Source organism: Homo sapiens, chromosome 7, assembly GCF_000001405.40.
Source record: "Homo sapiens chromosome 7, GRCh38.p14 Primary Assembly".
In the NCBI taxonomy this organism is placed as follows: Eukaryota; Metazoa; Chordata; class Mammalia; order Primates; family Hominidae; genus Homo; species Homo sapiens.
The window spans coordinates 28,439,690-28,463,639 of NC_000007.14; the positions used below are offsets into that span (position 1 = coordinate 28,439,690).

Below are 23,950 nucleotides of genomic sequence, written 5' to 3' on the forward strand. Positions count from 1 at the left end.
GCCTATCTCCTAAGATGGCACTTTCAAAGGTGAAGGAAGCTATTCCCAGATGCCTCAAATTGGAGTTAGCACTTCAGTTCTTAGGATTCTCAAAGTGCTTTCTAAGGCATCCTTGCAATAGAATTTATCAAGTTGCATTATTATTTTTCTCTGTGCCTGTGTGACCTGTAATTTTGCGTACCATTCAGCCTTGTATGCCCAGAGCCTAGTAAAAAGCCTATCACTGGTTAAACACTTTGTAGCTATGTCTTGAATGAGTGAATGAATGAGTGAAGGAGTAAAGGCAGAAACACTTGTCTGTGCTTAGCTGGAACAGGCTCATCTTTCCTTCTGTGACATGCTTCTGGGATATCAGTTGAAAAACACTTTCTTCCAATAGACTTTACCTGTCTCAGGGGTGCAAAACATTCCAACAGGAAAACTTAGAACTCTCAGTTGTCCTCTCCACGTGACAGTAAATTATTGCCAAATCTTGCAAAGATGCCCATGAATTCTGCTGAGTATCCATGTCGCACTCCAGTCCGACAACATTGATTTATTTAAGTATAGGTTTGGTGCTCTGTGAGGACTCACCATCTGCTTAAGTTGTGTTTACTTTAAGTACCAGTCAGCGTTTTCCTGACGAGTTATAGAAAAATGGTAGTTCAACTTAATTTTTAAGCGAGGCCTGTTTGAGAATAATTTGTTAATTACTAGTTGGTTGATCCCATTTCCTTAAATTAAGGGCTTCAGTTAATATCACATGCTTATTGCCAGCTTGCTGGAAGCCACTGCAGTGGTACCGCCAGTTGCATGATATATTGCAGCCTTATTCTCCCAGGCCAGTCCTGCCCTGGCTTTTCCGTTTATCTTTAACTAATTTAACAAGCCTGAAAAGTAACCTGGTGGTTTACTAGCTTTAGGACTGCAAATTGGAAGCTTAATTTAATAGCCACTTATAAAACCACTGAGGCAGAAATTGGTTATTAGGCCTTCATATGATGGGGCACACAGAGCCATCTGATCAAGGCTGATTCTTCCAGATACAGGAAGATTGGAGTTCACACCATTTGGGCTGGAAGTGTTTTATCAACTGCACACAAGACAGGGTTTGAACCTTGTCATCAGGTGGCGTGGAGTTCAGTGGATTTCTTTTCTTTTCTTTTTGGCAAGAAAGGAAATATTTGGCAGACTGTTATTGGGGAGGTCCAAGGAGATTGGCCACGGCCATCAGAAGAGGGCACGCTGAGGTTGGGTGCATTGGGATATATAATGACTTTTGTAAATGTTTTGGTTTCAATAAAATCCCAAATGTATTTTATCAATGCATTTTTCCCCTTAATTTTTAGACCCTTGTGTATTTCAAGGGAAATTTAATTCATATGGTTTTGATTCATTTATACTTAACTCATCAAAATGTTGTTTTCTAAGAGTTATTTGATGTCCAAGAAGACTTCGGAGCTTGATTTAAATACCTTCCAGTGTGCTTTCCCCCTCCCTTTTAAAAATAGAAAGCCATCTACTCTTGGCAAAACCTAAATGCACACACTCTAAAAGTTTGCATTTGGTTGAAAGCTCCAAGCCCATGAGGCTGTCGAGCTGGGCCAAATGCATTCTCCAGCTCCTGGTAATGTGTGAGCCTGTTACTCAAAAGCACAGAGAGATCTTTACCACTTGATAATCTCTGGTGGCTCTCCACATGGAAAGAAACTCTAAAATATAAAATGTCTGCCATTTGCTACATCTTTGATCTTGGAAAAGCCACTTAACCTCCCTTCACTTCAGCTTCCCATCAGTAAAGTCGGGCTAATATTTATTTTGCCTACCTCCCAGAATGATTGAGAGGATTAAAGAAGCTAATATAAAAGTCCAAAGATACCAAAAGCATCACATCTCTTTTCTTGATGTTATTGTTCTTTGAAAAAAATAATAAATACTCAGCCTTTAGTGAATATTTGGTATGTGGCAGGTACTATGTTTGACTTTTTGTAAGTTACCATCATGTTTAATCCTCATAGCACCAGGTGAACTGGAGCTACTTTTAATCTCCACATTTTGGAAGATAAAACCTCTGTGTCATTTGCTCAAAGTCTTATAGTTTATGGGTAGAAAAGCTGGAATATAAGTCAAGCTCTTTATGGTTTTTAAAAACTTTTTTAAATTTTAAAATAATTATACATACAGGATACAGAGTGATATTTTGTATCACATGTATACAACATAATGATAAAATCAGGGTAACTTGATCACCACAAACATTTATCATTTCTCTGTGTTGTAAGTATTCGAATGCCCTCTTCTAGCTTTTTGAAAATGTACAATAAATTACAGTTAACCATATTCACCCTATAGTGCCGTGGAACACCAGAACTTATTCCTCCTAACTCTTTGTTAACCCACCTCTCCCACTGTCCTCTCCTCATCCCCTTCCCAGCCTCTAATACTCACAATTCTACTCTCTACTTCCATGAGATTAAACAAAATTTTTTTCCTTAGCTCCCACATATGAGTGAGAACATACAGTATTTATCTTCCTGTGCCTGACTTATTTTGTTTAGCATAATGTCCCCCGGGCTTATCCATGTTCTGTGAATGACAGGATTTCATTCTTTTTTATGACTGAATAGTATTCCAGTGTGTATATATGCCACATTTTCTTCATCCGTTCATCTGTTGATGGACATATAGGTTGATTCTATATCTTAGCTATCGTGAATAGTGCTGCAGCAAACATGGGGGTGCAGGTGTCCCTTTGGTATACTGATTTCCTTTCCTTTTGATATGTTTCTCAAAATCCTCCAGCAGTGGAATTGATGGATTATATGGTAGTTTTTTTTGTTTGTTTTTTGAGAAACTTTCATACTGTTTTCTATAATGGCTGTACTAATTCACATTCCCATCAATAGTGTATAAGAGTTCCCTTTTCCCGCATCCACACTGTCAGCATGTGTTAACTTTTTGTCTTTTCGATAATAGCCATTCTAACTGGGGTGAGATGATATCTCGTTGTGGTTTTGATTTGCATTTTCCTTTATGAGTTTTAACCACTAAGTTGTATAGTAAATGGTTAAAGTCACATTAATCACTGTAATGTTGTGACTCAATATCAGAGTTTATCTTGAGTCAGTATCACTCATCATTGAGTCTCTTAATATTGTTAAGATCACTTAGTCACATTTTCTATTACATTCTCTTTTTGAATAATTAGGGTAAATGCATATGTAAAATATGTCATTCAAATATACAGACATTCAAAGATCATTCCTTACGTAGGACAGTAATAGAAGCTAATTTTAATTGAACACCTACTTTGGACCAGACACTGCAGAGCTCTCTATATGCCTTATTTCGTTTAATCTTCAGAACAACTCTATAAGGTAAAGTCAAGAACTGTGAAGAGCTGAGATTTCCCCCTACTTGCAACCTAATTAGTCTACTAGTTTCATGGATGCTGGCAGTAGCTATGAGACTCCTGGGTCAGACACAAAGTTCTTTATTACTCATGGCCAGCAAGCAGCATCAGCCTCATGTTCATATCACTTCCTCTTGTTCCTAGCTCCTATGAGAGTGATGTGGAGTGACCCAGGTGGCTGCTGAACATGCAGGGAGTTTACATTATGGCTGAAGAACTCTGGGCTTAGAAATCTCATTCTCTTTTAATGTTGGGGGAAGCAGCCTTGCCTGACCTTTGCTCCCAAGGGAGATATCTTTATTACACTGGACAGTAAGCAAACCTGCCATCTGCTCCAGAGGGACACACTAAGTCTGTCTTCTAACTCTGCTGTGCAAACATATTTGAAAAAATTCCAGAACCAAGGCCATCTGTACCTCTGCTGCTAGGACATACATAGTCCATAGAGGACTGTCTCCCAACACTTAGTCGCTCTATTTTACAGGCAGGAAAACTGGATTTAGAGAGGTGGAATCATTCATTCATTCCAGAAATATGTATTGAATACCTGTATGTGTTAAGGTTCCTTAGCTAAAAATTGGAGGAGGGGGAGTCAACACAGGCTCTAGGCCACTAACTTGTCCCCTTACCCACTTAACCCCTCTCCTCCTCAGCCACTGTCTCATCTTGCCTCCCCACCTTATGGCTAATTATATAAAATGATAATTCACTTACGATGATGATGACTCTTTGGGACACATGTTTCTCCTGCCATCAAATTCTTCCTCTGCAGCTTGACCCAGCCCCAGATACCCAAATGCCATAGGTCATTTACCTGAGATGTGGAAGCGGTATTGGTAGATCCTGATACAAGTCAGAATGGTGTTTTGAGGTGGAATTTAGTAGCACATAGAAGACAGTGGTGCTAGGTGATTTGAAAGTTAGATTAAACATAAAAAATTTTGTAATGGAAAACTTAGTTTTGTAAGATGGAATTAATTTGGTGTCTTTACAAAACTCAGAAGGTTCCTTTTCCCTGTTGCCCCTCCATCAATTAATCAGCACCGTTTTATGCTTGTATAAAAGTGCAAACCATTAAATGCTTTATAAAGATTTTGATAGTGTTCATGCTAGTTTGTGGGAGTCCCCTTGCCATGTGCCTGAATTGATCTGGCATAAAATATTAAATGACTATGAATTTGGAATCTGGGGGAGAAACATAAGGTCTTGGCAACAGAAGATTGGACGCATCTTTTCCCAACAAAGAGGTCTCCTGCGGCCCACAGGAAGGAATCTCAGGCTGCAAATTATCTCCTTTCTCAACATGGCCCAACTCAGGAAGCTAGTTTGCCAGGTTCCTGAGAAAATAATAAAGATGGACATGGAGTGATGAAGAGGTTGGTGGCTGGAATACCTACCTTTGAACTGTCGTGGGGAAACAAAGTGAAAATTAGCTGGTCAATCATTGTTCCTTTCAACCAAGTCACAGCAGGGGAAAGACTCTTCCACTGGCCTCTCCACCAGAGGAGAAGCTGTGTTTTAAAAAATAGGAAGAAAAGAAGCCTGACTTGGTGCTTATTTAGCCCTGCCACTGTGTTCATGGATTAGTATAGCACAGTGAGAATTTCTCTCCTGCTGGTCTGCCCCTGTCGGCACCTGAAGCTATTGGCTCTGTTTTCTGGGCTCATTTCAATTCCCCCTGATGCCAGAGAAAATCCAATTAGTGAAGAATTTGAAAGAAAGAATTCTAGAGGAAACTCTATCACCCTGAAACCATAGCAGAGTGGGGATGTGATGACTCTTGTGGGGTCATAAATGTCATGAGTTTCTTCCTAATCTTAAATGGTAATCCAGAAAGTAAGTTTACTGATATTGTTTGGCTGTGTCCCCACCCAAATCTCATCTTGAGTTGTAGCTCCCATAATCCCCATATGTGGTGGGAGGGAGCTGGTAGGGGGTAATTGAATCATGAGGTTGGGCGTTTCCCATGCTGTTCTTGTGATAGTGAATAAGTCTCACGAGAACTGATGGTTTTACAAAAGGGCAGTTCCCCTGCACATACTCTCTTGTAAGACGTTCCTTTGCTCCTCCTTCACTTTCTGCCATGATTGTAAAGCCTCCCCAGCCACGTGGAACTGCGAGTCAATTAAACCTGTTTTTCTTTATAAATTACTCAGTCTCAGGTATGTCTTTATTAGCAGTGTGAGAACCGACTAATACATTTATACTCAGACTTTCTTTGATGGAGCCAGCCTCCTTGAAAGCAGTTATTTTTAGATGTTCCAACAGCCATCTATCTTACAAAAGGATTTTCTCTTCAGATAGGCTCTGCCTATCAGGTTCTACAGTAGGCTGCAGAAAGAGGAAATTACTTTGTTTTTGCACTTTAACAGCAAAGTCAAGTGGAGGAAGAAACTAAGAATCCTTGGACCTTGGAGCAGGGTTTTACTGAAGAGTGAAAGTGGGTCCCGGGAGCCAATATTCTTCTTTTTCTTTTTTTTTTTTTATTTGAGACGGAATCTCGCTCTGTTGCCCAGGCTGGAGTGCAGTGGCGCGATCTCGGCTCACTGCAAGCTCCGCCTCCCAGGTTCACGCCATTCTCCTGCCTCAGCCTCCCGAGTAGCTGGGACTACAGGCGCCCGCCACCACGCCTGGCTAATTTTTTGTATTTTTAGTTGAGATGGGGTTTCACTGTGTTAGCCAGGATGATCTCGATCTTCTGACCTCATGATCCGCCTGCCTCAGCCTCCCAAAGTGCTGGGATTACAGGCGTGAGCCACTGCGCCCGGCCTATTCTTCTAACATACTTGAGAGGGTGAGGGAATGATTGCAGCTTTGCTGAGGGTATCCAAGGCCTGTTCATGGTAGAAGCAAAACAACCTCAACAAACAAAACCAAACAAACCCAACAAAGAATGTGAATGTTACTTTCTTAATTTTCTGATTCTGTCCCTATTCCCTGAAGGAAGCCCTTGGACCAGCTGGAGCACCTTTCCTGAAGTCAACTATACCAGACACCAGAAAATACACGTGACTCCAAGGGAATCTTCAGGCAGACCATCGTCCCCTCCCACTTTATTCCCTTCGACAGTCTGCCCACTGTTTCCTTGTTGTTTTTGGTTGGTCTGTTTGTTTTGGGTCCCCCCAGCCGCCCCTCCCCTCCCCCACACTCATCTCCTGCCTCCCCAGCTCCAGGAAGCTATACACAAACTGGAGCATTTGGAGCTAACTTGGTGGGATGATGTGGCTTCTGGCAGCTCCCACAATATGACACCAGTGAAAATACAAACCAAATGTTCCTTGTGTTCTAGGGTGTGAAGTCTTCATCGCCCTTTTCTTTGAGAGCAGAGAGCACAAAAGAACTAGACATTTGGTGGTTTCTGTCCTGGCTCTGCCTTTTAATAGCTGGGTGACATCTCTGAATCCAATTCTTTATAAAATAATAATTGTAGGTCCGGGCGTGGTGGCTCACACCTGTAATCCCAGCACTTTGAGAGGCTGAGGTGGGCAGATCACGAAGTCAGGAGATCAAGGCCATCCTAGCTAACACGGTGAAATCCCATCTCCACTGAAAATACAAAAAATTAGCTGGGCGTGGTGGTGGGTGCCTGTAGGCCCAGCTACTTGGGAGGCTGAGGCAGGAGACTGGCGTGAACCCGGGAGGTGGAGATTGCAGTGAGCCGAGATCACGCCACTGCACTCCAGCCTGGGCAACAGAGTGAGACTCTGTCTCAAAACAAAACAAAACAAAACAAAAGTAAAAGAATAATTGTCTTACCCACTTTATACAGGTGGTGTCGGTGTTAAAGTCATTTATTGAGAGCCTACCATATGCTAGATTGTGTGTATTGAAGTACCTCCTCTACTAAGCCAAGAGCACCTCAAAGGCAAGACCATTTCCTATTCCCATCTGTGACAGGTAGTAGAATCTGACTGGCTGAGCTTGGAGCTGGACTCTGCACCTTGCTAGCTCTGTGTCCCTGGGCAAGTTACTAACTTCTCACCTGGAAAGTGGAGATCAGGACACCACCTCCCCTCTAGAATTCTTGTGAGACCTAAATAAGATAACACACATAGCACAGGGCTTGCAGGGCACACCATGAATGTTAGCAATTGTTCTGACTGTATTTATGAGATCAGTGCCTGGCGCACATCTGTTTTTTGAAATACGGTAAACAGTAAATGCTCAACAAATGGTAGTTCTTTTTCATAAGCTTTCTTTAAATAGTCTTGCAGTTCACATGTGACAGATCATGGTGGTATGTTCCACTGGGACTGATCCCAAGAAATGAAGATGAGGTTTTCTAGAGTTTAACTCTGAAAGTTCCCTTCAAACAAGTTTCTTCATTTGGTAGCTGCACACCGACGGGGGAGTGGGTGACGGAATTTGGACCAACTCATTCAGTGTCTTAGGGTATTAGTGTGTTCATGTAGTCATTTGCCTCAGCTAAGCCCAACCTCCATGATCTTTAGCCATGCTGAGCTGGAGAGAAAGCAGTACCCGAGAATGTTCATGGAGCTTGCTGCCTGAACATGGACCCTACACATGCACCTGCTAGGGGAGGAGAGTGATGGTGTGTGTGTATGTGTGTATTGTGGGAAGTGGTGAGGTGGTAATACAGCTAGGAGAGCAAGATAAAGAACATGATGACTCAGGGGTCCTTTATTTTACGTGGCATTTCCAAAATGTGGCTTCTGATGACACAACTGCCCCACATTCCCAGCCCGTCTCAGGTATACCTCAGGCTTTCCCTTCTTCCCATTGGCTTTTTCTTTTTTACTTAGAGAGATATTTATTAAGATCGAAATCCACTAAAGAAAACACAAAAAGTAGCAAGAAACCACTTTAGTGAGAGGACTTTTTGGGAGAGTGTATGTGATAGTTAATACTGAGTGTCAACTTGATTGGATTGAAGGATACAAAGTATTGATCCTGGGTGTGTCTGTGAGGGTGTTGCCAAAAGAGATTAACATTTGAGTCAGTGGGCTGGGGAAGGCAGATCCACCCTTAATCTGGTGGGCACAATCTAATCAGCTGCCAGCGAATATAAAGCAGGCAGAAAAACGTGAAAAGGAGAGACTGGCCTAGCCTCCCAGCCTACCTCTTTCTCCCGTGCTGGATGCTTTCTGCCCTCGAACATCAGACTCCAAGTTCTTCACTTTTGGGACTCAGACTGGCTCTCCTTGCTCAGCAGCTTGCAGACAGCCTATTGTGGGACTTTGTGATCATCTAAGTTAATACTTAATAAAGTTCCCTTTATATCTATCCTATTAGTTCTGTCCCTCTAGAGAACCCTGACTAACACAGTGTATGTATGGTTTTATTTTTTATTGCTTCCAATATTTTCTAGACCTGCTCAATGTGGTGTTGGAGAGCTCAGTTTGGCCCTGGCAAGACACCAATGCAGGCTCTTGGTTCTCTGGGCTCCTTGTTTTTCTTCTGGGCCCAGGAACCTTTAGTGTTAGTGACATGGAGCTGGTGGGCTTGGCTGTTGGATTTAACTACTCTCTTCATATGTTCTCTGAAGGACTTTTCAGATATTGAGGTGAATCTTTAACCTTCTAAATTCTTCAGGTAGCTTGGCTGGTCACCAGCCTTGCCTTCCAGAACATGTAAGGCCTGAATATTTTAGTCTCTGCAGGGGTAGATGGAGTCACAGGAGGAGGAATTGACGAGCTAGCTGGGTTTTCAGGTTTTCAGTGTAAATCCAGGAACATGGGCCCTGGGGCCAGGCAGTGTTAGAGATGATTTAGTCTAACCTTTTCATTTTACAAACATAGAAGCCGAGCCCAGAGGGGTTAAATGACTTGCTTTTGTTCACACTGCTGGGAGCAGCACCACGGCTGGGATGCAGGCCGTTGTGACTTCTGCTTTGAGGTTCTTTCTATTCTCTGCTCACACACCTAGACTTGATGAGGTAGAAATGAAACTCTGGCTTCTTAATCAATTCATAAGCATTACCTACTCCTCTTACCTTTTTTAAAATGGCATTTGCCTCCTCTTTATTTTGTTCAAGTTTCTTCTTCTTCTCCTCTTCCATGTAATATGTGTGCATGGAAGCAAAGTATATCATATGCCAAAGAACTTAAGTTAAATATTATCATTTCCCCTGACCACTCACTAAAGGCAATCTTCTCTAAATTGTTTTTTGTTTGGTTTTGTTTTTGTTTTTGGAAGTTACTGCTAAACTCAATAACATGCTTCTGTCTTTGTTTCTTTATTTGTTAGCTGTTGTAACATCTCTTAAGTCTCTGCCTTGAAAGATGCAGATTCAGCTCAGTTGTCCTGTGCCTCCTCTACCTCTGCCTTCTCTCATTACTTTATTCCATTATTGCTTTCGCTATTGGCTGTACACTTAAACCTTCCCTTTGTGGCCCATCAACTTTCCATCGTTTTGCGTAAGATGGAGTTCTAAGCTCTCTTAGGATCCTTTTCTTGCCCTCCTCTCTTCTACATTTCCACCTTTGGCATCTGCATAGTTACTTCCACATTGTTAAGTGATTTTCCTCTGTATTTTGTCCTGCAACCTCAATGATATCTTCTGTGCTTTTGGTTAACTCTAACAGTGAAAAATGAGTAAATTGCATTCATAATTATGACTATGCAATTCGTGTTTGTTGCTTGACCAAATCATGTGTTAGGATCCTTCTCTGGGGGACCTGAGGTCGTAACTCAAGGGCCTCTCAAAGAAGAATATTCCTAACGTCAATGTCGAATTGGTTAACTTTTTAAAAAACTTCATTGGTTGCTTAAAATTGTTTGACCAAGGTTGATAACTCTGTCTGTCTCTCCTAAAAAGGTTTCTGTCAACCTTTCCTCTTTCTCCTATCTCCCTCCCATCCTTTACTTCACAGTGAAATAGTCAAGTACCACTGAGTTTTCTTAGACTTAGGAGCTGTCAGAATTTAAGGGTCTAGTCTGTGAGAGGAGCTCAGTCAATGGTGAGATCGAATCTTTGGACCTCCTTTGGACCACCGGAATGAAATCACACGTTCCCTACAATAACAAGAGAAGCTGTTATTTTGCAAAATCGATGGATATTGCTAATGAGTTTAAATTTTCTTTGTCTTTATTTATTTTTGGTCTTTTCTTCACAAAGGAGAATGTCAGCATAATAGCTGCTGTTTGATTGATGAATCCTGTTGTGACTGATAATAATGATTCTGATGCTTTGTGTTGAACCAAAATAATAAAAAGCCCGAGGGTACTTATAATATGCCTAGCTGAGTTTTGAATCATGGACATCTGAAGGCTTTACATAATATGACACTAGAAACAGCTGGTGAAGGAAAAGCCTGGAAGATCTCAAAAATTATCCCAGTTCTAAAGCGTGATACCTGCTGTTCTAAACTGCCATTTGGATGCTTGACTCGCATATGATGCAAAATATTGAAATAGATAATTTACCAAGCTTGCAATTTCTCATGCTGAAGAAAATATGCAATTAGGAAATGCCCAACATAGATTTAGAAAAGAGTCATTGCAACAACTCAAGTGGTTGATGTTAAACCATAATTTTCCCCAGATAATGGATTGCCACAGGAGCTGAATCCACTTGGCTGGATCCTCCACCTGTCACAAGTTTTCACCCCCTGCTCTCTGTCTGTTTGTGGGTTCTAGATGGGAGAAGAGAAACACAGGGTGGCAGGAGATAAGCACTGGCTTTCCAGATTTGTCTTAAGTCTTGGCAAAATTTATACAACGGATTATAACATATATTCTCTGCAATTCATGTCTTTTTGAAATAGTAATTTTCTTTCTGATGTGATCGGGTGTTTGGAGTGGTTGGTGATGAAGTAGATGCATATCTTTATGGCATTATAACCTGGAGGCAGAGGAAGCCCTGAAATGTGGTGAGTATCCACCATTCTAGACCATTTGCAGGTCTAGAAGGAACTCTAGGTCTATAGAGGGGAACCTGGCTCTTTGTGCCTCAAGTCAAGGTAATTTGGGCAAAACATATTACTGATTTTTCAGTTGCTGTAACAGATGTAAATGATGTAACAAGTATGCCAGCACTGGCTGTGATCTGGAAAACTTTAAAGGGGTCTGTGCTGTGTGTCTATGGAGTGGGTGTGAGGTGCGCAAAGGGAAGTAGAAGTAAAATTATGATTCAGAGGGAGGGTCTCTGCTTGGTAATTCTCCTCCTGGAAGAACTCCCCCTTAATTTGTGCATTCATTGCAATAACTTGACTGGAAAGTAACTATTCTATACTAGTGGCTGGCATCTAAGATTCCTCAGATCTAAAGTTATCCCAGCTATGTTAGGCTTTCTGCAAGTCTTTCTGTGGTTTGGGCATAAACAAGTAAGGCCCAGGTTATTCAGGTATTTTACAATGAATCTGGATTCTAGCCACTTTTCTGGGGTGCCATTCTGTCCCTTTGCCAAACTGTGTGTGTGTGTGTGTGTGTGTGTGTGTGTGTGTGTGTGTGTTTGTCTATATCTATATGTACTTTTTTTTTCCTGGAAAATTATTCTTGAGTGAAGCTGGTTTGTGAGGTTGTAGCTTACAAATAGCGTGTTTTGAATCTGCCTAGAGGTTTCATGGTACATAGTACATGTATGTGTATGTGTGTGCATGTGCAAATACATATGCTGTGGAGGTGGGACAAGGGAACAAAAGGTTGCATGTGCACAGAAGTATGGCGGTCCTACAGGAGCATCCCTATGTGGGTACCATTGTCTAGAGAGTGTTGCTAAATTGATCTCTCCATCCTGGGTCCTGGGAACTTAAATGTAAAGGTGGGTTGGCTTTATATGCAATTCACTTGCCTTACTTTAAAAGTGATCCCTGAGCTCACATTCTTGAATAAGCTCCATATGGTTTCCCAAGCAGATACTGCATTTTAAAGTATATTCACATTGAACATATACATATTGACAACAATGGAAGTTGCGGGAAGGTGTCACTCTGCATGGTACTAACTTTAGCTGCCAGCTCCCTTTACCGAGGGAGAAAGGTCCCTGCCTGGACTCTGCTTTTCCTTCATCATCTATTGGTCTATTTCAGTGCTGCACCAGCCCATCTTAGACTGGCGATTTCTTTCTATCATGGATGTCAGCGTCACTGCAGAATCTCAGCACTTTGTAGTTAGTCAAAGTTTTGTTTCTCCATATCATGCCTTCATTGTCACCAGCCCTATCTGACTCAAATGGTCTACCTTTATGACAAATATTTTATAATAAACCATTATAAGTTTTCCAATGAGTTTTATAGATTAAAAAAACAAACCCTATCAGAGTCAAATCATTCTTCTTTCTGACAAATATTTTATAGTAAATCATTACAATTTGCAATGAATTTTATAGACTAAAAAACCCACCCTAGACACATGATTATAAAAATGCCCTAAATGTAATATAACAAAGAAATAAAATAAATGTAATTTTAATAAAATAATGTGTATTTGTATCAGTCGGGTTCCTGACAGGAAACAGCATGGTAAAAAGCGTTTAACTATAAAGACTTGAATGAAGGTGAGGGTAGGATTAGGGGATCCAGCTGAGGATGAGGAAGGATCCAGGCACTAGGAACAGCTTGAAGTTGTTACCATCCCTAGACCTGCAGGAGCAGGGGAGGGAATGGTGTTCCTAGAGCCCCATGAGAGCTGGGGCCTAAAGAGGGAAGCAGCAAGGTGTGGGGCAGGGAAAGGATACTCCAGCCTCTCTCTCTTCTCACCCTCTGGTCTCTTGCCACTGCCTCTTACTGGGAGAAAGCTGGAAACCAGAGGGAAAAGGCCTGGGGGACTCAGTCCACAGAGCTTAGTCTCTGGCAGAGAGAGCAGGACAGAGAAAGACAGAGAATGGATCAAGGAGGGGTGGGACCAATGGGGAAAGCAGTACAGTGTTTCAGTATGCAAATGCCAGGCTGCCACACTGGAAGACTGAAGGAAGGGAAGATCTCCCATGAACAGAAATTCACAGCTGTGAATGTGCAGCCCGACATGGGTGCCTTGTGTTGGCAACACTGATTTTCCCAAATGGCGAGTAACTCTCTGGAAGGTTCTAAATTAAACCAAATATGATCTCTTAATTTCCAGGTTGCAGTTCTGAAAATTTCTGTATATCTTAAAATCATGCAAAAATACATTTATTGGCCGGGCGTGGTGGCTTATACCTATAATCCCAGCACTTTCGGAGGCCAAGGTGGGAGGATTGCTTGAGTCCAGGAGTTTGAGACAAGTCTGGGCAACATAATAAGACCCCATCTCTACAAAAAATCAACAAAATTAGCTGGGCATGGTGGCACACGCCTGTAGTCCTGGCTACTCTGGAGGCTGGGGTAGGAGGATTGCTTGGGCCTGGGAAGTAGAGGCTGCTGTGAGCCATGATTGTGCCACTGCACTCCAGCCTGGGTGACAGAGCGAGACCCTGTCTCAAAACAACAACAACAACAAAACCCACACAGAGACATTTAGTTTATACATATAAAATTGACTTATCTTCTCATATGATTTTAAATGTATGTTTCCTCTACATGAATGGCACTTGAGAGTTAAGCAGGTGAGTGCAAGGCACGTGCCTAGCAGGCGTGTCTTGCTTATGACAAAACACTTGGCATCCCTGATCCTTGCCCACTAAAGGCCCATAACACCCCTCCAATCATGGTAAGAAACAAAATGAAACACCCCAACAATTTCCCCAAGGCCCTTGAAGCAGGGCCTGCCCTACTATGTGCTGCTGTTCTAGATATATCTGGTATTTAACATCACCGATGAAATTGCTGGAGGTGCAAGCTGCCCCCAAGGGCATTGCGATGAAACAAAATAAAATCTTTGTAAATGAAAATGCTGCCCTCTTTACTTTGTTGGTGTGTGAGACAGGTTTTGTAAACCTTTTTGCTGGAAGAGGCTCTGGTCCAAACAAATTCCTAACTGAAAGAGACTCCTCTCCAATTCTTTTTTTTTTTTTGAGATGGAGTCTCGCTCTGTCGCCCAGGCTGGAGTGCAGTGGCATGATCTCGGCTCACTGTAAGCTCCGCCTCCTGGATTCATGCCATTCTCCTGCCTCAGCCTCCTGAGTAGCTGGGACTACAGGCACTCGCCACCACACCTGGCTAATTTTTTGTATTTTTAGAAGAGACGGGGCTTCATCGTGTTAGCCAGGATGGTCTCGATCTCCTGACCTCGTGGTCTGCCTGCCTCGGCCTCCCAAAGTGCTGGGTTTACAGGCATGAGCCACCACGCGCGGCTCCAATTCTTATTCCTGTGTAAGTTTCCTCATAACTTCTGTTGGAAGTCATTCCTGTCCAACATGCCCTCCTCTTCCAAAGCTGCCACAGTTGTAGGTAAAATGGCCCAGCTGTTCTTCCTGGGGCACCAGATTGGCCTGAGTGTGGCTCCAGAGGCACCTGTGAGGATAGTGAGGCAGCATCTGACCTTCTGCTGTCTGCCGTCCTATGGCATTCCTCAGGGCATTCCCCCAGGACTTCTCTTTTCTAGTTTTCCTCCTCATCCATGTTCGCCAGATTGCTTCCTGGTGCCACCTCCTAGCACCTGTGGATACCTCACCTTCCCCTGAGTCTAATGACCAGCTTATGTCGTGATAGGTCTGCCCTCGCTCCACCCTCACCTTATTTCCATGATGCTTGGTTGTCAGTGAACGCAGATATTGGAGCTAAGGCCAGTGTTTGTCCCAGGGCCCCAGATCCAACTGGAGTGAATATTATTTCTATGGGTGCTATTAAGCATATAAAATTTTTTTTCAAAAGGACTGAGTTGAGTTGGTATGCCACTGTGAACAGTAACTTCATCACTTGGAAGATCCGACCTACTCTAACGGAATGTGACCCAGGGCTGGTGGGCAGTGGAGAGCAGAGTATACTGGTACCCGCTTCCACATGGATGCTGAAGTTGTGATTTTACAGTGGCCTCAGCACACCACCTCATTTGTCCTCAAATGGAGCTTCCCCTGTAATTGTGCGGAGTGGATCTGAGCACCTCCCTGACGTGCATGAACACGGTACCTCTACTGACTTCTGTTCTGTTTATCAAATAATGAACAGAGTTTTTTAAAACAGCTTTTGACAAAAGAAGTAGAAGGGGGCAAAGCCACATGTGAAACCTACTTCAAGTCATCAGTTACACGTTTAATCTTGAGGCATTAAAAATCATTCACTTATCAGTGGGCACATGTCAATTCCCAGACACATTTGGAAATGCTTACAGTGTGGAAGCCCCGAGCCGAACTGCAGGAGCTGTGGAGATGGATGGACAGACTGGGATAGCTTCCTACCTGTTGGAGGAATCAGACAAACAGAGCAGTTCATGATGATTTGGGAGTGGAACAAGGGTGAAGGTGGGAGGCTCAGAAATTTCCTCATGGTAGCATTTGAACCAAGCCTTTAAGTAGAACAAGATTTTGCTAAACATAGAAGGCAGAAAGGGCACTGCTGACTAGCTATTTGAAGAAAATAGCGACTAGCTATTCGAACAAAAATGCTGTTTGTAAATTAAATCCTCTAAGTATGTGGTAGACTCTCAGGTAGTGGCAAGAGATTCAGAATCACAGATAGGTATGAGCCTGGCAGAGGATACAAATCAAAGCTGCAGAGTGGAGCACCTGGACCTTCCGGCTCAGGAGTGAATACTGCGCTTTGGGGCTTTGATGCTTCATGGAGGAATGCGGGGTTAAAGTAGTGGGGGGTGGGTGAAACACTGCAAAGCCAGTATTTTAGGAAGATCCCCCAGGGGACAGTGTAAAGGAGGAATGAGAGAGGGGAGAAAGCAGGAAGGAGATTGATAACAGTCTACTGTCCATGGCTCTGGCCAAGAGGGTTGGGTGAGAGGCCTATTTGTGCTTGTGCCCGACACTGGTGGATGTGGGTAGAGATCTGCATGCATTTCACTCCTTGGTAAGGATGGACAATGGACAGATAACTTCCCTTTCTTTTTTCTTATTGTCTGAGAAGTGTTACTGACCTGATCAACTTTTAACCTCAGTCCCCATGAGGCCAGGCCACAGAGGGGACCATCGCATTTTCTCTGTGCTCTCACTGGTACTGGGGAAGATAATGTGTTATAATCTTTTACAGTGAAATTATAAATGGACTTTAGATCATGCTTAGGCAGGCTGCTGACTTAATTTTCCTAAGCCATAGCTAGAGTTTACATCCTCCTCTTAAGAGGAAAAAAATGTTCCCTCTGAAGCATGTACTAAAGAGAAAGGCTGAGAGGATTGATTTTTCCCCCAAAGAATCCATAAATATTTACATAAGTGCAAGTTACAAATCTGTGGCTTTGAGATTATCGAATTTCACTGCTTTTACACTCACAGCATATAAATTTCCAGCAGGCATTTGCTGGTCATGAAGGTTCAGTCTTTGGAGACTTGTCCCCTAGTTTATTTCCTTTGCTCTTGGAAAACAAATCTCTCTTGTGCTGTTTCGGATGCTCTCACTCATGGTTACGGACTAGGCATTGAAAGCCATGTGACAATGGTCTTTGGCTGGGGTGGGGGGCTTCATTGTGAAGGATTGCCTGCTAATGGGGGTACTACTCCTCCAGCCAAGAGGCTGCTTCTAAAGACCTTTTTGATAGTGCAATAATTCTCTCCAGAAAGGAGCCTGGATGTTGTTGTAGTTCCAAAGTCTTTGTGAAATTCTTAGGTAAATAAAAAATCCTCTTTAAAGATCATGTTGCTTTCACTGGGGCAGGTAAGCAGGTCTTCCTTAAATATGGGTGTTGTGTCTGCCATTTTGCATATAGACAGACCTCACTTATTTTATTCTTGCTCTCTCTTTACAGAATTGTGCCTGGGCACACCCCCTTCTTGTTTGGCAACAGCCAGAACAAGGGTAAAGCTGAGTGAAGCTTTCTCTTATGTCTTAGTCCATTTTCTGCTGTTAGAATATTACAGATGGGTAATTTATAAAGAAAGATTTAGTTGGTTCATGGTTCTGGAGGCCAAGGAAGCCCAAGAACATGGTGCTGTTACATTTTGGGGTCATTCCTGCTACTTAGTAATATAGCAGAGGGCATCACATGGCAAAGAAGAGTGAGAGAGAGTGAGAACACTCGAGACAGAGAGAAAATGGGGCTGAATGTATTCTCTTATTAGGAGCCCACTCCCACGACCACTAACCCACTTCTTGTGATAATACCATTAATTCATTCATGAGGATGAAGCCCTCATGACCTAATCACTTCTTAAAGGTCCCACCTCTTAATACTGCCACAATGGCATATAATTTCAACATGAATTTTGGAGGGGACATTCAAACCACAGCACCCGCGATTATGAATTTTACCATTGCTAGATTTTGGACTGGCCTGTTCATCATAAGGACCTAAATTTATACATGCTGAGAAACAAGTGACTGAAATAAGCAGAGGGATGAGCTCCTCCCCCATGTTCTGCATAGGGCAGGCAGTTGCTGCTCATTGGTGGATCTGGAGAGTAGCTGACCTGAAAACAGTCTTCATCTTTCCGCCAAAATAATTTTAACACTTAAAAAAATTTTTTTTGAGAAGGTACTAGATGAGAAGCAAATAAAATGAATTCTAAATTTCTGACAGTGGACAATTCCAGGGATTGGATTTTATGTTGATGTGCTTGGGTATATTAGAGATACATGCAGAAAAGTTTATGTTTGTAGGAGACTGGCTTTCAGACAGAGAAACAAAGAGACCATTTCCATCTTGTCCTGGGAGTCAGTTGGATATGATCTCGTCAGTTGCTAAGGTAGGATTGGGGGTAGGCAGGCTTGGAACTGGGTTTGTCCCTGACTTAGGACAGAATCTTGGGCCAGCCCTATTGAGAAAAGGTTTAACCTGGAGCCTATGGCGGTAGCTGGTCACAGTCCTGTTGAGAGATTTGCAATGGGAGCCCAACATGAGGAGGTGGGGTGTACAAACAGGCAGGCATACTAAGACCTCAGGGTGAACAGGAGCTGTCGCCTTAGATTTCTTGTTATTGAACAGGACTCTAGGCCTGGAAAGGGGACTTGGTGGAGCATGACAGGGCCCTATCCCCCATAAGAGGAAGCTGTGTTCCTACTTAGGTGACTAGAACAGAGGCTCAGAAACGGGGGGCCAAGACAGAACCCTGGAACAGAAACTGAGAGTTGGTGACAGACTTCGTTTTAGATTTTGGGGAAAGGCCTGAGACTGTGTCTTACTTATTTTATATCTTCCAGTGCCTAGCAAGATGCCTGACCATATAGTACTCACTAAGCAAATATGTGTTGAATAAATGAATTGGGAGGGGGATGATGAGAAGATATAAACTGACTAGGATCTGATAACTTGGTTGTGATTCCAAATGTGGCTTGGTACAATTTCTAAAAAAGATAGGCAGAATTGGGGCCTAGCTTCATGGATTGCAAATGTGCATGACATGGGTGTGCTTTGAACATGTCAAAGAGCAATTCAAACTTATGTAAAGTTGGATTTAAGTTTACAGGGACATTTAAGAAAAGGCCTTTTACTATTATTTAATTTCAAAAGGCCCTTTACTATTACTGAACATTGAAGTTATGTAATCGCAAATATAGGCAGGCAGGAAAGGGCTGTGTCAAGAGAGGGATCCCAAAGTTACTGTAGATGCCATGTAGTTTGTTGAAAAAATCACCTGAGCTGTGGTTTCAGACAGACCTGGGTTTGAATCCCACTTCCATCACACACTGATTGTGTGATCTTGGTCAATGACTTTGCCTCTCTGAGCCCAATTTAGTCAGCAGTAAAATATGGATGTGATAGTATTCTTGGAAGAGGTGTCATGGGAATTAAATGGATTGACATAAATGCAATACCTAGGTGGCGCCTGAGACACAGTGGGCCTTGGAAATGGCAGTTCCCATAGGGAGTCCTGCACGAGCCATGAAGGCGAGAAGCCAAGGCTTTGCATGCTATGCTTTGGGTGTGATAACCCTGGTGGGCCTGGCCTGTATTGCTCCCTGAGTGATGAGATTCTTGCTGATGTAATGGGCTGGGTCGATGTTGTGCAGATCTGATGACAGTACATCCACACCCTGTCGCTTTCCCTGCCAAGACGAACTGTAGCCGTCAGAGCCTCCATTCTGCTCCCCACACCCATCCAGTGACCATCCACTAACGCCCCAGTGAAAGTGGGCTTTATTTGAGCCTTCCAGAGAAATTCAACCTGAGTGGTTTGTGGTGGTCACGCTCCTGTGTGTGTGTGCGGGGGAGTCTGTCTTCAGAGCTTCCATTCAGCCATCTTTGCACACCCCACCTGTCTCAGCCTTTGTCCAGTGATCCAGTTTTTCTGTTTAATCAGTCAGAACTTGAGTTTTCAGGTTGGCTGTCTTTTCTTCTGGGTTGGAAGAGTGGGAAAGCACTGAAAATAAGGATCAGGCAAAGGAACCCTTTTCCTTTTGCAAAGACCTCCTAGAAAAGTGAGGCTCGTTGTCAGATTAGAGTCATGTAGTACTGGTGTTTCTTGGTTAGGTCATGGAAAGGGCCCTTCAAAGGGTCCATGGAGTGATTTTAGGTTTGGAATCTTGCCATTATGAGTTAGCTCATGGGTTACATCCCCTCTTCTGCACTCCAGCCTCTCCCTCTACTTCCCTCCTTTTTGCTTCAGCCCGAGGCAGATGGCAGACATGGATACACATTTATGGATTGGCTGATGTGTCTGCTGGAAACGTGAATAGGCTGTGTAAAGGTGGGAAGGCAGGGTGACGTAAGGGGGTGCAGAGATTCCCACTTGGGTTTATGCTGGCCTCGTCTTTGACTGGCTCTGTCATGTTGCCCTTGTGGGGTCCTGTTTTCATTAATTAATGTTTACTGAGTGTTTTGTATGTTTCTGGCGCTGAACACATGCTTCATATATATTATCTTGTTTAATCCTTACCACAGTCTTACAAAGTAGGCATCATTATCCCCATTTTATAGATGAGGAAAACAAGGCTCAGAGAAGTAAATGAATGACATAAAGAGGACTTTGAGGCGAATGATTTTCCTACAGCTGCAGGTCCTGTCCTGCGATTGCATCTTCTGTTACTCATACCAACTTCACTACCTGCTGATTACAACTGTTCCACTACTGTAATGAGATGTATGAAGACATTCGATGGCTCTATAAAATCATTTCTCCTGCCAACTTCCCAGAATTGCTTTGAGGAAGAAGAATTTTGAAAAGGATTACATATTTTACAAGTGTCAGGGAGTCATATTAATGTCATTATGTTTATAAAAGGAAATAAAAGGTTGCAGGGGGAGCAGAGATAGAAATGAAAAAAGGCAAAAGGGAGAGGATAAAAAGGAAGATACTTACCTATAAATATAGACATACCATATCTAATTGCTTTACACATGTCATTTTATTTAAACTTCAAAATAACCCAATGATATACATGCTAGTGCTGTTATTTCCCCTAATTTACAGATGAGGAAACTGAGGCACAAAGAGACGAAGCATAGACCCCTGATTATATACCTGGTAACTGGCAGAACTAGAATTGAAGCCCAGCAGTCTGACTCCAGAGCCTGAAGTTTTAACTCCGGTGTTAGTATGTTTTGCCTTCCAATGGCTTTCAGGAGGGTAAGGGCAAAAGGGCATGGAAAGTCACCTAATTAGTTCTTCAGGTGGGGTATCCATCATGAAGATGGTGATAGCTAAGATGACTTCTAAAGAACATAGGAATTGGCAATAAGTAAGACAGATGGGTTAAGAAAAACATCATTAGTAGGGTTACTGTGAGGATTAAAGGAAGGCTGTTTTGCACGGTAAATGCTTCGTAAACGTCAGCTATTCATTAGTGAGGTGTCGGGGAGTTGTCGGGGGAAGAGAGAGGAGAAAGAAGGAAGTGAGAGGGGAGAAAAGTAGTTGGAAAAGGAGAAGAAAGCCTGGAAGGGCTGGAAGAAAGTGTATAAAAGAGATGTGGATCTTATGGGGGGGCATAGTGGCTTGTGCCTATAGTCCTAGCTACTCAGAAGGCAGGAGGATTGCTTGTGCCCAGGAGTTTGAAACCAGCCTGGGCAACACAGTGAGACTCGCATCCCCTCTACCAACAACACAAACAAAAAAAAACAAAATGAAATCCCCACAAAAACTTATCAGGTTTGGTGGTGCCCACCTGTGGTCCCAGCTACTTGGGAGGCTGAGGCAGGAGTACCGTTTGGGTCCAGGGGTTCAAGGCTACAGTGACCTGTGAGCTGTGATGGCGCCACTGCATTCCAGCCTGGGCAACAGAGTGAGACTCTGCCTCTGAAAAAAAAAAAAAAGATATAGTCCCCAGAGAAGGTGTATAAAGGAAAGACAGAGACAAGAATGAAGACCTAGGATTTAGTGGGAGAATTTACATATTTGTTCAACAAATGTTTATGGAGTGCCTATTATATTAGACAGCCATCAGCAAGACGAGATGTGTTTCCTGAAGTTTTTGATGGGTATCTTTTTTAGCATTTATGTTGGTTAGATGTTCAGACTCTGAGTTTAGAGTAGAAAATAGGTGGTATTTATTTTCCTGCATAAAAGCCTGTTGGTAGTCATAATTTTCTATTAATTCATCATGAGTGGAGTCTATATATTAGGGTGTGTTTTTTGAGTAATGAAATATGTATATCTGATGTGAGCTAATGGCTGATTTACATGAAGCCATACCTCTAGGATTTTCTGTGACAACTCCAATTTCATGTCATTGTAACACTTTCCCAACAGATGATTAGTAAAACGATTTCGTGAATGTGATTGAGTATGTAGACTTTTTCATTTAAATAAATTAAAAGCAGAAAATTCTCATGTCACAATGTGTCCTGATTTTGTTTCAGAAGATATGTAAATCCATTGTCATTTTTCAAACAGGAAAATGGGAGTACAATGTAGAGAGCCCACTTGTAGTTTTATATATATATATGAATATAAATATATATGTCAGCTTTATTGAGATATAATTCACGTATCATACAATATGCTCTTTTAAAGTATACAATTTGGTGCATTTTAGTACTATGTGATCACAGAATTGTGTAATTATCACCATTGTCTCATTTTAGAACATTTTCGTCACCCCCAAAAAGAAACCTTGTATCAATTAGCAGTCACTCCCCATTATTTTCCCCTCATAGCCCCCGGTAACCATTAATCTACTTTCTGTCTGTTTGGGTTTGCCTATTCTGGTCATTTTATATAAATGGAATCACACAACACGTGACATTTTGTGTTTGTGTTCTTTCACTTAGCATAACTTTTTCAAGGTTCACCCATGTTGTAGCATGTATCAGTACTTCATTCCTTTTTATAGCCAAATAACATTTAATGTATGGTTATATCATATTTTGTTTATCCATTCATTAGTTGGGCATTTGGGTTATTTCTACTTTTTGGCTATTACAAATAATGCTGCCATGAACATCGATGTATGAGTTTACAAGTTTTTATATGAACATAGGTTTTCATTTCTTTTGGGTATACACCCAGGAGTGGAATGGCTGGGTCATTTGGTAACTCTTTGTTTAACATTTTGAAGAACTACAAAACTGTTTTCTCAAGTGGCTGCCCCGTTTTACAAACCCACCAGCAATATATGAGGACTCTAATTTATCTGAATCATCACCAACACTTTCCGGGGTCATTTTGATTTTGACCATTCTAGTGGGTATGAAGTGGTATCTCACTGTCATTTGCCTTTCCCTAGTGACTACTGATGTTGACGATATTTTTATGTAGTTATTTACCATTTGTATATTTTCTGTATAGAAGTATCTATTCAAATCATTTGCTCCATTTTTAATTAGGTTATTTGCTTTTTTATTGTTTAGTTGCAAGAATATTTTTTAGTACATATTCTGGATACTAGACCCTACCAGATATATGATTTGCAAATATTTTATCTCATTCTGTGGGTTTTCTTTTCACTTTCTTCATGGTGTCCTTTGAAGCACACAAAAAATTAATTTTGATGAAGTCCAATTGACCTATTTTTTCTTTTGTTGCTGGTACTTTTAGTTTCTTATCTAAGGATTTTTTGTTTTTTATTTTTTGCCAAATCCAAGATAAAGATTTATGTCTATGATTTCTTCTAAGAGTTTTCAGTTTTACCTCTTATATTTTGTTCTATGGTTGATTTTAAGGTAATTTTTGTATATATTTTGAATTAGGGATCCACCTTTATTCTTTTACTTATGGGTACCCAGTTGTCTCGGCATCATTTATTGAAAAGATTGTTTTTTTCTTTCATTGCATGATCTTGGCATCCTTCTTGAAAATCTATTGATGATAAATGTAAGGGTTACTTATGGACTCTCAGTTCTATCTTATTGGTCTGTATGTCTATCCTTATGCCAGTACCGCACTGTCTTGATTACTGTTGCTCTGTAATGAATTTTGAAATCAGAATGTGTGAATCTTCCAACTTTGTTCCTTTTCAAGATTGTTTTAGCTATTATAGTCCCATTGAATTTTCATATCGATTTTAGGATCAGTTTGCCAATTTCTGCAAAGAAGAAAGCCGGGATTTTGTTTAAGATTGTGCTGAATGTGTAGATCAACTGTGGAATATTGCCATCTAACGATACTAATTCTTCCAATTCATGAATGTTTTTCCATAGATTTAGGTACACTTTAGCTTTTTAATGATGTTTTGTGGCTTTCAGTGTACCAGTCATGTGCTTTTTTGT

At 41.9% G+C, this 23,950-nt stretch overlaps 1 protein-coding gene across 11 annotated transcripts in view, besides 1 other annotated feature; it reads left to right on the forward strand.

The window, feature by feature from the left end:
• The window catches only part of CREB5 (cAMP responsive element binding protein 5), a 526,574-nt gene that overhangs the window by 140,369 nt on the left and 362,255 nt on the right, over positions 1 to 23,950 (forward strand). The window contains exon 1 of one of the 11 annotated variants that reach the window (XM_047421067.1): positions 7,180 to 11,223. The exons of the other annotated variants lie outside the window; for them this stretch is intronic. The gene's annotated coding sequence lies outside the window, so the exon portion shown is untranslated. Of the gene's footprint in view, positions 1 to 7,179; positions 11,224 to 23,950 lie in introns of those variants that run through there. 11 annotated transcript variants of the gene reach the window in all.
• Positions 6,993 to 7,152: an enhancer, noted in NCBI's record as "active region_25796". NCBI's record gives its function as "activates an Ori minimal core promoter by ATAC-STARR-seq in GM12878 lymphoblastoid cells {active_cell/tissue: GM12878}" and the evidence as "EXISTENCE:reporter gene assay evidence [ECO:0000049][PMID:35858748]".